At 34.3% G+C, this 12,551-nt stretch overlaps 1 protein-coding gene across 1 annotated transcript in view; it reads left to right on the top strand.

Moving 5' to 3' along the window:
* SVEP1 (sushi, von Willebrand factor type A, EGF and pentraxin domain containing 1) overlaps positions 1 to 12,551 on the top strand; it is a 214,494-nt gene that overhangs the window by 114,933 nt on the left and 87,010 nt on the right. Inside the window, exons 19-22 of the mRNA NM_153366.4 lie at positions 5,696 to 5,857; positions 6,247 to 6,338; positions 7,457 to 7,553; positions 9,106 to 9,219. Coding sequence (NP_699197.3) covers positions 5,696 to 5,857; positions 6,247 to 6,338; positions 7,457 to 7,553; positions 9,106 to 9,219 — 465 coding nt within the window. The remainder of the gene's footprint in view (positions 1 to 5,695; positions 5,858 to 6,246; positions 6,339 to 7,456; positions 7,554 to 9,105; positions 9,220 to 12,551) is intronic.

Genomic DNA, 12,551 nt, shown 5'->3' with positions numbered 1-12,551 from the left:
CTCACTGGGAACTGAACAAACATTCCTTGATGAAAGATTTCTTTTTTAATTGTGTATCCTACCTCTATAGTTTTATTTAAAAACCTAAGGTCTATGGCAACTGAGAAATGAAGAAGCTGTTCCCACATTGAATGATGTTTTTAAGAAGCCAACCTACTGGTTCCCTACTTCTCTCAGGCTACACAGAGACACATAGGCACACTTCCTACTATCACTGCACCCAGCCATGCTTAACTTCATCCAGTTAGAGAGAGATCACCAGTAAACAAGAGGTAGGAAAAGTTAATGTGCAAGGGCAGGAAGGGGCGTTTCCAGCATTGCATCTTGGAAGTTGTAGTCCTCATAAGTGCATTGGGAGAAAAGGAAACAGGCAAAACACACTCTGAATTATAGGTTTATATATACTCCATCTGTTTAAATTATCTCAGTCTAGTAGGATCAAGGTAGATATAAGTCTGAGACCTGAGGCATTGGGCAAGTAATATTCATCAACCTAATAGTTTCACTGAAGAGTTGAGAAGAAAATTTAGGGCCTAACTGAAACGCATAAACCATGTCTGTTGGATAATACCAGCTTTGGATCTTTTAATTAAAAGTCTCACAAGCCTTCACATTCTGATTGAAATAGATCTGCTAGAGACTCTTTTGTCAATATAAGAAATAATTTTGGCAGAAAGTCCACAGTAAAAAATTCTCTCTTCCTGCCCACTTCCTCCAACCACAAAAGCAACTAGGATTTTTATAGTGAAACAAGTTCACATTTGACAATTTTTTTTTAGCTTTCTAAATAAACCTTGAGGTTTGTCTAATACTAAATTATTATAATTAAGGAGTTATAATTCCCAAAAAGTCTCTAAATTTTTGGCCCTACTCTCCTAATATTCCTAGCATAAGTTTAACCACACTCTGCTTGTCATGAGTGGGAATTAGGAATGACAAAAGTTAACATTCTTCTGCGGTGCTGGATAAACATTTTATTTTAAACTTAAATGTGTGCAAGTTCTAAAACGGTCCCTTATATATATTTTTTGTTAGTTTTTAACTCCTTTCTCACTTTCTCTTGCTTGCTTGCTTTTGTCTTTCTTTCTCTTTCTCTCTTTTGCCTTTCTTTTTCTTTCACCTGCCTTTCTTTCGCCTGCCTTTCTTTCTTTCATCAGCCTTTCTTTCTTTCTTTTTCTTCCTTTCTTTCTTTCCTTCCTTTTTCTTCCTTTCTTTCTTTCCTTCCTTTTTCTTTATTTTCTCTTTTGGTATTGATTTACTATTTTTATTACTGATTTATTTTCTATCAGTATTGATTTATTTTTATAGTGTACTGTTTTATTTTGTGCTAAGACATTGCTTTTGCATTTCTCTATCATGTGGCACTTAAAATATTATTATTCAAGATAGCAATCATATTTAAGTATCACAAAGTATATTAGTTTGTTAAAGTAATATATTCTTTGTACATTTTACTTTTTATAACTTGTTAGGTTATTACATATTCTTGGGTTTGTAGGTACACACTCAAGAGTCTGAAATTTTTCATTCATTAAAAATGATTTTTATCAGAAGAATAAGTTCGACAGGTACTTGTTGTTGTTGTTGTTGTTGTTGTTAATATATGATCTATAGGAGAAGAAAAGATGATGTTTAGACTAGGATGACACCACCTTTTACCCTGACTCTCCAGGATGAAGTTAAAAGGAGGCTCAGGAAGTCATTGACCTCTGACCTCATCTTAGGAAACTGATTTATTTATTTAAAATGATCTATAATTAAGGTGTACAAAATGATGTTATGATATTCTTATGCACATATACATCATCTCACATAGTTGCCCTTCTTTGGGTGTGTGTGGTAAGAGAACCTGAAATTCTCTTAGCAAATTTCTAGTATACAATATAGTATTATTAATCATAGTCAGAAAACCCATTGAAAAGGCAAAATCCACTTGGCTCCAGGTCTATATGTGTTGCCCTTAACACTGTCAGAGAACAGCACAAGTGATATGACATTTTTTTCCTGGTCATTTCCATGCACTGTTTGTCATTTGATTTTAATATCATTTTGGCATACTTAGATTATTTCTCTCTCTCTCTCTGTCTCTCTGTCTACAATAGAGGAGGTGAAAAGAGGGTTTTGTTGCATTTTTCTTGACCGGGAGACTAGTTTCTTTGGCCAAGAATCAAAATGAAACATTCACCCCTCTTTTCTCATGACACTAGTTCATTAGGAATTGCGTATTTATGTGTGTGTGTACATGTACATGTTTAGTATTGTATTACATACTAGATAGTGCCACTATTATGTATATGTGTATGTTTATATATACATATATATGCGTGTGTGTGTATATATGTTTACTACATATATAAATACTCTATTAAATGCTAATTGACCACTGCAGGAAAATATATTTCTGAAGACAACTGTCTGCCCTTGGACAATAACTTAAACTAATAAAATTGCACATGCAAATTTATTTTATATTTTCTATGCTAAAAAGTATAGACATTACAATGATGAGTTGGGTATTTTTAGAAGCTAATAGATTTATTTTTAATGTTAGTATTTTATTACTATTACATCTTAGTACAATTTTTTACCTTCTGTTAGTTTCTAGGGGCAAAAACATCTTTTCTTTTTGAGCATCTTTGTGCTGAAAATTATATGTAAAAAAAGTTTAATTCATTATAGCATCTTGAGTTTTACTGATGGAATTTATCTTTTCAGCATTTCATACATACTCAGAGATATTCTCTCAAACAAAAGTTTTATACTTTTACCAGCAGAAGATTGATGCTTTCTGTTAACTAATTAGCTGTGTGTAAGTTACCTTTTCCAAATAGGCAGTCACTCTCGGAAACTTGAGATTGAGGAAACCCATTTTAAGCTAAGCAAGTTTACAGTTTGTGCGAATAACAGAGCTCTACCTAGCACTCTGAGATCTATCAATCAAAGAGTAAATTAGCTTGTTCTTAGTGAAATAAAGATACAGTTTAAAAATGTAAATTTTATGCATGTAAAGACCAAACCTGCAAGAAATATTTTTTCTAAATTTGCATAAAAATCTATGATATTTTCTGCCATCTCTTGATTGAATTACCATCTCTTCATTGAGCTCTTTTGTTAATTGGGTAAAAGAGCTCTTTAGCAAAAAATTTGGCTATTTTTGTTTTAAAATTTTGATCTACATGTCTTGAGATTATCACAAATGCTTTGTTTTTTCTCAAATCAATTAAAAAAAGATGCTATGACATGGCATACCCTGCTCCTTTGAACCTCAGTCCATCTCTAAATTTTTCAACCGTACTACTAATTATCTCTGCTGTACTATTTTTATTGTAAGGACACCAAACCCTAAATGATAAGGATGTTGACATCCTGAGTAGCTACTTTTTGTGTTCTGTCTTCCATACTTACATTTATGCAGACAAGTCTTAGTATTTTTAATAGTTTTCTCAGTTTATAATGGCTTTAAAGCTATCCAGATGATGCCAGTTTATCCAAGGAAAGGACATACCCAACCTGAATTCATACTTGGGTTGCTGTCTAAAACCCCAACCAAAGAGTTAAGTCATGAGTACTCTGTCCCCCTGCCCTCTGCTAAATGCAACAAAACATCATGGAGGAAAACCCGAGCTTGTTTTATGTTTGAGGCCATTTTTAGTTTTGTTAATATTCCACTCGTTAATGGCAAGAGAATTTCAGATTTGGTTAAATGACAATTCTCAAATGAATGTTATTTACAAAAAGCCTAACACAAATGACAGTGAAAGGTTAAAAATAATAAGATTTCCAGACCGACGAATACAAAAAACAAGCAAGTAGGGGTGGTAAAGGGAATTTATGAAAAAGTTCAATTCAAAGCCCAGTAGCATCACATGAGGAAGAAAAGAGTTATTTTTACGTAATTCACAAGCAGTATAAGTTAGTCATAATAAAGCTTTGTCATCAAATAACAGCAGTAAAATACAACAAAATCTGTATGTCTCACAATGGTAAATTGTAAAAATAAAATTTTCATGGAAGATTTTAATACCTTCCTTGAATTTTCTTTTTTTTTTTTCTTTTGAGACGGAGTCTCACTCCGTTGCTCAGGCTGGAGTGCAGTGGGTGCCATCTCATCTCACTGCAACCTCTGCCTCCTGGGTTCAAGCAATTCTCCTGCCTTAGCCTCTTAAGTAGCTGGGATTACAGGTACCTGACACCACACTGGCTAATTTTTGTACTTTTAGTAGAGACGGTGTTTCGCCATTTTGGCCAGGCTAGTCTGGAACTCCTGACCTCAAGTGATTCGCCCACCTCAGCTTCCCAAAGTGCTGGGGTTACAGGCATGAGCCACCATACCCCACCACTCCTTTGAATTTATAAAGATCATGTAGGCAATCAGTAAGGACACAGAAAACTTATAGTACATGATTGATAAGGCTGAACTAATAATACACGTTATACTTTTTACTCTACTGTGATAACACTTTTAATGAAGTATTTATTTTTATCTTTAGATATAATGAACAAAAAAACTCAAAATTCAAAAGGTAGCAATTAGTTATGCAACGTAAATTATCTGACCATAAGATGATTAAAAACAGAAATTAATTAAAGCATATTCCAAATATTTATACATTTTAAACCATCTTTCTGAAAAATAATTGTGTCAAAAAATCAAATTACAATTCATATTACTTAGAAAATAGCCAATAAAAATACTAACGATAAAACTACTGATTTTGCTGAACGTCTCATAGGTAAATATATTACCTTATATTATTGTAGTATTAAATAAGGAGGAGTCATAATTACTTGGTCATGAAAGCAGTTAAAATTAACAGGCAAAGCACAAACTGGCAAAAATAATTAGTCTAAGTGTGTCAAATGATTCATATTCTTAATATATAAAATAATCATAAAAAACCTCCATAAAAGACTATTCAGGAGAAATAAAATTTCTAATAAGCAGAAGAAAGCAACTTCATTTATCATCAAGATGCAAATTAAAATAACTAATTCCGTTTTCACCCTCAAATTGGAAAAAAAATTTAATAATACCAATGCTGAAGAGCATGTAGTGAAAAGAGTGATTTCATACACTACTAATGGGAGTATAAATTGGAACTACTTATTTTTTTAATGATTTGGCACTATATATCAATGGCTTTAATCTTTTCAAATCTTTAGACCTAACTATTCAACTACTCAAATCCAATTATTCTAATTCAACTACCCAAAGTCAACTATTATCCCAAGGAAATAATCAGAGCTAAATACAAAGATTTATGCAAAAAATTTACTTCAGCATTATTTATAATAGCAAACAAATGAAAACAATCTAAATATCCAATAGTAGAAAAGTTAGCTCAATCATGGTCTGTCAATGAGATGCAACATTTTTATTTTATTAAAATCTATACTATTCAATAATCTGGGGGAATGATTTGGGAAACACTTATGATACCATGTTAGGTGGAAAAATCAGAATACAATTATATGGCCAATTCTAAACTTTATTAAGTTAACATGTGTTACTAAAGATAGGAAGGAGACCCAACAAAACATTTACCTGGGTGATAAGATGGTATGGGTATTAAATATATGGAAGAGATTATATAGATAATTCAGTAGGTTTCTTATATGCACAGATTAAATCACTTCTTTCAAATGTAGGGTGTGTTACTTTATATGCACATATGATTTGTTTTTACCTCTGCAGTTCCTTGTCCAGAAGGAAAATTCTCGCGTTCTGGGTTAATGCCCTGTCACCCATGTCCTCGTGACTATTACCAACCTAATGCAGGGAAGGCCTTCTGCCTGGCCTGTCCCTTTTATGGAACTACCCCATTCGCTGGTTCCAGATCCATCACAGAATGTTCAAGTAAGATGAACTTCATTTCTTATGTAATCCTATGTTGGACATTTACTTTTCCCTGTCTCTGTTGTAGCTTCAGTTCTGAATATTACTATTTTCGGTGGATTTGGGCATCTGGAGTTGTTAAATTGTCCTTCTGAGGTATTTTTGATGACCATGACACAAAGAGTCTTGTTTTGGAAACACTGAACTTGATAACTTCTAAATTTCTTTCTAAGAGTCTAGGATGTAATGATGTATGCCATCCATCTCTGTTTTCTTTTTTAAAATATAAGTGAAACAAAATATATGTGGCTTTACCCACTCTGACAACCAGAATCTTGACCATAGTGTTAGATATAGTCCACTTACTGGCATATTTGCCACACTGACATGTTTTTCTATTAATTGATTAGGTTTTAGTTCAACTTTCTCAGCGGCAGAGGAAAGTGTGGTGCCCCCTGCCTCTCTTGGACATATTAAAAAGAGGCATGAAATCAGCAGTCAGGCAAGTTCATTTTGCATAAACTGTTCTCTAGTGGAATGCTTGGAAAGCAATTTGTCATTTTACACATCACACACAGGAAAAGGACCAGGATTGAAACTTTAAGTAATCAAGATGTATGAATTTTATAAATGAATAATTGTATTTACAATGACTCCTGTTTAGAACATTCCCAAAATGCAACATTAGATGTTCTAAGTACCAAAAATGAGAGTTTTTCCCAGAAATGCCTGGCAATAAGAATGAGTAGATCCAGGGGGAGCCTTTTGATTCACTATAAGCACTTACCACAAGCACAACCCATCATTTGAGTAAGAGAATTTGGTTTAAGGAAAGGCCTTTTCTAATTGGCAGGCAGAGTTACCCAACTTTCATGAAAATTATTTAAATTTCTTTGCCAGAAAAGAAAAGATTTCTTGGGGAAAAGTATGAGTCCTTAAAAATTAAGAAACATAAATTAAGAATATAGCTAAACCAAATGCTTTATATTTTTTACAAGACTAGTTGTTAAGTCTTGGTTACTTTAATAGATTCAGTCATTACTCTGAACTCACCTTGTCCAATGTCATGAATTCCTTGCCTTTTAGTATTTTCATGGATAATGGGGATATTTTTCTGATTACAACTTCCTACAGCCTAGTCCAAACATAATGACTTGTTAGGACTCTATAAATCATATTTCAAACTGAGCCTAGTGGACATAGGAATTTGTAGGATCCCCTAAAGCAGTGGCTGTCACATGGAGGTGTATTAGAATCCTGGCCAAGTTTTTAAGACAGTAATGTACAGACTTCACTCCCAGAGATTCTGATTTAGCTAATCTGGGTTGACGCCCTGACCTTAGTATGCCTTCAAAATATCAATTGTATTCTAGCATGCAGCCAACATTTAGAAACACTCCTTAGGTTTACCAGAACATCACCCAAGAATGATATATATCATTTGCTCCCCTATATGGCAGGCACCAGTGTTATTCAGGCAGCAAGCCACCTAGCTTGAGTGAACTTACCTGGAAACAGGAGGAACGAGCTGTCTAATGTTGCAAACCTGACTCTAATCAGGACTGCTTTGAAATAAATAGAGTGCTTTGTCTCTGATTGATTTTTTTATGCTACTGGTAGGTTTTCCATGAATGCTTCTTTAACCCTTGCCACAATAGTGGAACCTGCCAGCAACTTGGGCGTGGTTATGTTTGTCTCTGTCCACTTGGATATACAGGTAAATAACCAAGAGGAATGTAGATTTTAATATATTTTATATGAAATCATTATGACTTGCAGTATCAAACTTTAGTACATTAACTATATCCGATAAGATACATTAGACCATGTAAATGTGCCAAAATTTGTTGAACAAGATAAACAATAGGTGAAAAAATTATACATACTTCACAAATGACAGTTTTCTTTGCCTATTTTGGATAAAGAATAAAGACTCATCTTCCCTATGAGTCTTTGTCATAACCCACAATTTAAATTGAAATACAGGGGTCATGTTCAAAGTTTCATTCTATCAAAAATTATATGCATGATACTCAACATAGAACAGATTGTCCAGTATAAACATTTTTAAATGAACTGGCAGCTTCTCTGATTTGCTACACACTAATAGAAGTTCTTATGAATAGCTATGCTTTGTTTCTATCTTTCTGGAAGCTGTGCTTAGAAAACAATTTGGCTTTGGGCTTTATTATGTAGGAATTACGTATGAATTATGGGGGTTTTTAACAGTTTGGTTCACATTTGACTTAAGTCCAGAAACATAATTTTTGAGGGGAAATGAACTATACCTTAAAATTGCAATTAATTTAAAATAATCATTTTCTTCTAGACAGTTTTTTTCAATGTTATACAACCAACTTGAAAGTTTTTCATGAGAAGTGGTATTTAAGTAAAGGAATTCACCACAAAATAAGCAAAAGGAAAGTCAAAAAACAAAGTATAGCCAAGATCTATCTAGAATATTGGCATCCCATTTATTATAGCTGGCTCGTGTTGTGTGCATGTGTGTCTCTGTGGATTTTTATAAAAATATTTACCTTGACGTTCCATAAGAAATAAAGGATCTTGTTTGGGAATTCTGTAAATGAGTGGTGGTTGAGAAAGGGTATAATATAGGACAGTGGTTCTCAAACAGTCGTGTGCATCAGAATCATCTGGAAGGCTTGTTAAAAACACAGATTGCTGGACTCCAGCCCCAGAATTTCTAATTCAGTGGGTCTGGAGTACAGCCTGAGAATTTGTATTTTTATTGCATTCCCAGGTAATGCTGATGCTAGTGAGGAGGACCCTGAGAAAGAATATGGGTTTCCAGCACAGCTAGCCCATAGAAAGCCTGTGTGCACCCTGTGGGAAGATGCAGCCACTCTGGGACACCTGGCATGTGAGCTGTGATCTGGCAGGCTTTAGCCCCACCTCCACCCCTAAGCCAGGTGACCTTGGTAGCACATACAGATGATATTGTAACTTTCACTTTGAAATTAGCATAATTCCTGGCTCCATTTTATGCTTCCAAGTGCTCCTACCCCACTTCTAATTTGGGATCTTTTGCTATCTCCTATGTATCTTTATAAGAATATCTTAAATTTGTTTAGAAAGAGGTATTACCTTCATTAAATACTTAATAGATGGTAGCACTTAATGAATATTACCCTTTACCACTACCCATTTAAAAATTCTGATTATTGAGATAATTACCTTTAAATGATCATAGTTCTATTTCGGTTAATCCCATCCTTGGATTGTCCCTCAGCATTTGGTTTACATTGTAGGCTTAAAGTGTGAAACAGACATCGATGAGTGCAGCCCACTGCCTTGCCTCAACAATGGAGTTTGTAAAGACCTAGTTGGGGAATTCATTTGTGAGTGCCCATCAGGTTACACAGGTAAGGGGAAGGTCTCCTGTTTTCAACAATATAAATCTTTGAATCATTAACATTTCATCACTGAGATAAATTTGGAATGTGTCAAAGATACATTTATAGAATATTATAAACATATTGAAGAAGCATATTTTCTAATATTACTTATTTGCATTGGGAAAGTGTTCTTGTCCTTTTCCGGTTATGTAAGGAGAACAAGATATCAATATGGCAGTATGTAATTGCTTTATAAAACAAGCAGGCGTGTTCCCATCTTTGCCAGCTAGATGTGTGACCTTGGACAAGACATTTAACTTCACTGAACCTGTTTCTTCATTAGTAAAAATGGAGGTGAGGAAATGACAGAAAATATGTAAAGCCTACTACAAATACAAGGTCATCCCCAAGCTTTTTACTAGTATTTTACTGAATTTATGAAGTGTATATGCCAATTTCTGTGGATGTTCATGTGTGTGTGTGAATATGTGTGTGTATAATTATTACTAACTGTGGACTTCAGGCGCATGTATCCTTGAAATTGTTATGGACCACTATGCCTCTCCTTTTAACTTAAATAAATACATATTTAAGTGTTATCTTATTTTTTAGCATTCAAAATCTTTGTCTTTATTTATGACTTAAATAATTTCAACTTTTATTTTAAATTCAGAGAGTACAAGTGCAGGTTTGTTACATGGATATATTGCATGATGCTGAGGTTTGGAGTACAGATAATTCCATCACCCAGGTAGTGAGAATAGTACCTAATATGTAGTTTTGCAGCCCACACCACCTTTCTTCTCCCCTCTAATAGTATCCAGCATCTATTGTTCCTATTTTTATTCCATGTGTACTCAATGTTTAGCTCCCATTTTAAGTGAGAACATGCAGTATTTGGCTTTCTGTTCCTGCTTTAATTCACTTAGAATAATGGCCTGCAGCTGCATCCATGTTGCTGCAAACGACATGATTTTGTGGAGTTTTTATGACTACATAATATTCGATGATGTATAAGTACCACATTTTCTTTATCTAATCCACCATTGATGGGCACCTAGGTGTATTCCATGTCTTTGCTATTGTAAATAGCACTGGGATGAACTTACAAGTGCATGTGTCTTTTTGGTAGAACAATTTATTTTCCTTTGGATGTATACCCAGTAATGGGATTGCTGGGATTACTGGCCAACCATACGCAGAAGAATGAAACTGAACCCCAGCCTTTCACCATATACAAAAATTAACTTGGATTAAAGATTTAAATGTAAAACTTCAAACTATAAAAATCCTAGAAGAAAACCTAGGGAATACCCTTCTTGACATTGGCCTTGGCAAAGGATGTATGGCTGAGTCCCCAAAAGCAATTGCAACAAAAACAAAAATTAACAAGTGGGATCTAATTAAATCGAAGAGCTTCTGCACTGCAAAAGAAAGCATCAATGGAGTAAACAGAAAACCTACAGAATGGGAGAAAATATTTGAAAACTATGCATCTGACAAAGGCCTAGTATTCAGAATCTATAAGGAGCTTAAACAAATCAACAAGCAAAATACAAATAACCTCATTAAATAGTGGGCAAAGGACATGAACAGACACTTCTCTAAGAAGACACATAAGCAACCAACAAACATGAAAAAAAGCTCATCATCGCTAATCATCAGAAAAGGCCAATCAAAACGACAGTGAGATACCATCTCACACCAGTCAGAATGGCTTTTTTTTTTTTTTAATTTTTGTATTTTTTGAGATGGAGTCTCGCTGTGTCGCCCAGGCTGGAGTGCAGTGGCATGATCTCGGCTCACTACAACCTCTGCCTCCCAAGTTCAAACAATTCTCCTGTCTTAGCCTCCCAAGTAGCTGAGACTACAGGCGCATGCCACCATGCCCGGCTAATTTTTTGTATTTTTAGTAGAGATGGGGTTTCACCATATTGGTCAGGCTGGTCTTGAACTCCTGACCTCAAGTGATCCACCCACTCCAGCCTCCCAAAGTGCTGGGATTACAGGCCTGAGCCACCCCGCCCCTGGCCAGAATGGCTATTATTAAAGAGTCAAAAAATAACACATGCTGGCAAGTTATAGAAAAACATGGATCACTTATATACTTTTTTAGGAATGTAAATTAGTTCAGCCACTCTGGAAAGCAGTTTGGAGATTTCTCTAAGTGTATATCTTAAGAGTCGCAGCTTCCAGCACCTTCTCACAAAAATAGTTCAGAAACAGTGATCTTATTCTCAATTCCCTTGTTAACCCACATTATAATTATTATAATATTGATGATATATTCTAATAAAATAGACTAGGATTTACTACTTTATAAATAGTAATGACCCCATAATATTATTATGGAGAGTACTGAGATCATCTAAATCATCCAGCATTGTACCTAACTCATCATTATTATACTAAAAAGATATCTGAATATATATTTTAATATGTGTGGGTATATAATTTTCTATATTTTAAAAAGTTTAGTAAAATCCTGATAACATTTCAAAGGAACCAGATTCTAATAATTTTATTGTGTATCTAAAAACAACTTCCATAAAGACATAAAAATGTTTAACATAACTTACAGTAGTAATCATTTGGAACAACTCATATATTTTCTCTATTTCACATCCATGCAACACTGGTAGTCCCAGGCTTATGAAAAGATATATTGAGTTTATACAGTAAAATTGCATTTCATCTGGAAGTGTAATTTGAAAGTTTATATATAGGGAGACATTTTAAATAGTCAAAGTTGCCTTGAAAATCCTTCAAATAAGCCATCAAGTAGAGTGGACTTGATATTGCACTTGATAAAGTGATAGCATACTCTATCAATTATAGTGGACAGGCATGCTGTTTAGAAATATGCCTATTTTACCTCAACAACAGAAGAAATCATTTTTATCTTATGAACACCAAAGCGTGTGGCTTGCATTTAGGGGCCACATCACACATATCTTGAAACAAATTTCTCTCAGCTTATATTCTAAGAGGTCCACATGCTGTGAGACCAACTGCAGACCAGCAGACTCATCACCCCTAACCAAGGGTGTGTATTCAACAGCTGGAACCACATCCAGATTGCTTGCCTGGTTTCCATTTTCTTTCTCATGCTCTTTCCTCTCCACCGTCTGCCTATGGTTGCATTTCCTTAGACAGTATTAAAATTATGCACCTGTATCCTACAATTCTTTATTTAAAATTCCAAATCTCATATTAGCGACACCTGGTGTTGAATCATAGTAAAAACTTGTGACAAGAATGGCAGACACATACTATGAGAAAAGTAGAACCAAGTTTCTAAATAAAATAAATATACATTTACTAGATGTGAAATGTATTATGTATGTTATTTATTAGAC

Source organism: Homo sapiens, chromosome 9 (genome assembly GCF_000001405.40).
Source record: "Homo sapiens chromosome 9, GRCh38.p14 Primary Assembly".
In the NCBI taxonomy this organism is placed as follows: Eukaryota; Metazoa; Chordata; class Mammalia; order Primates; family Hominidae; genus Homo; species Homo sapiens.
This window is presented reverse-complemented; position numbering and strand designations above follow the sequence as displayed.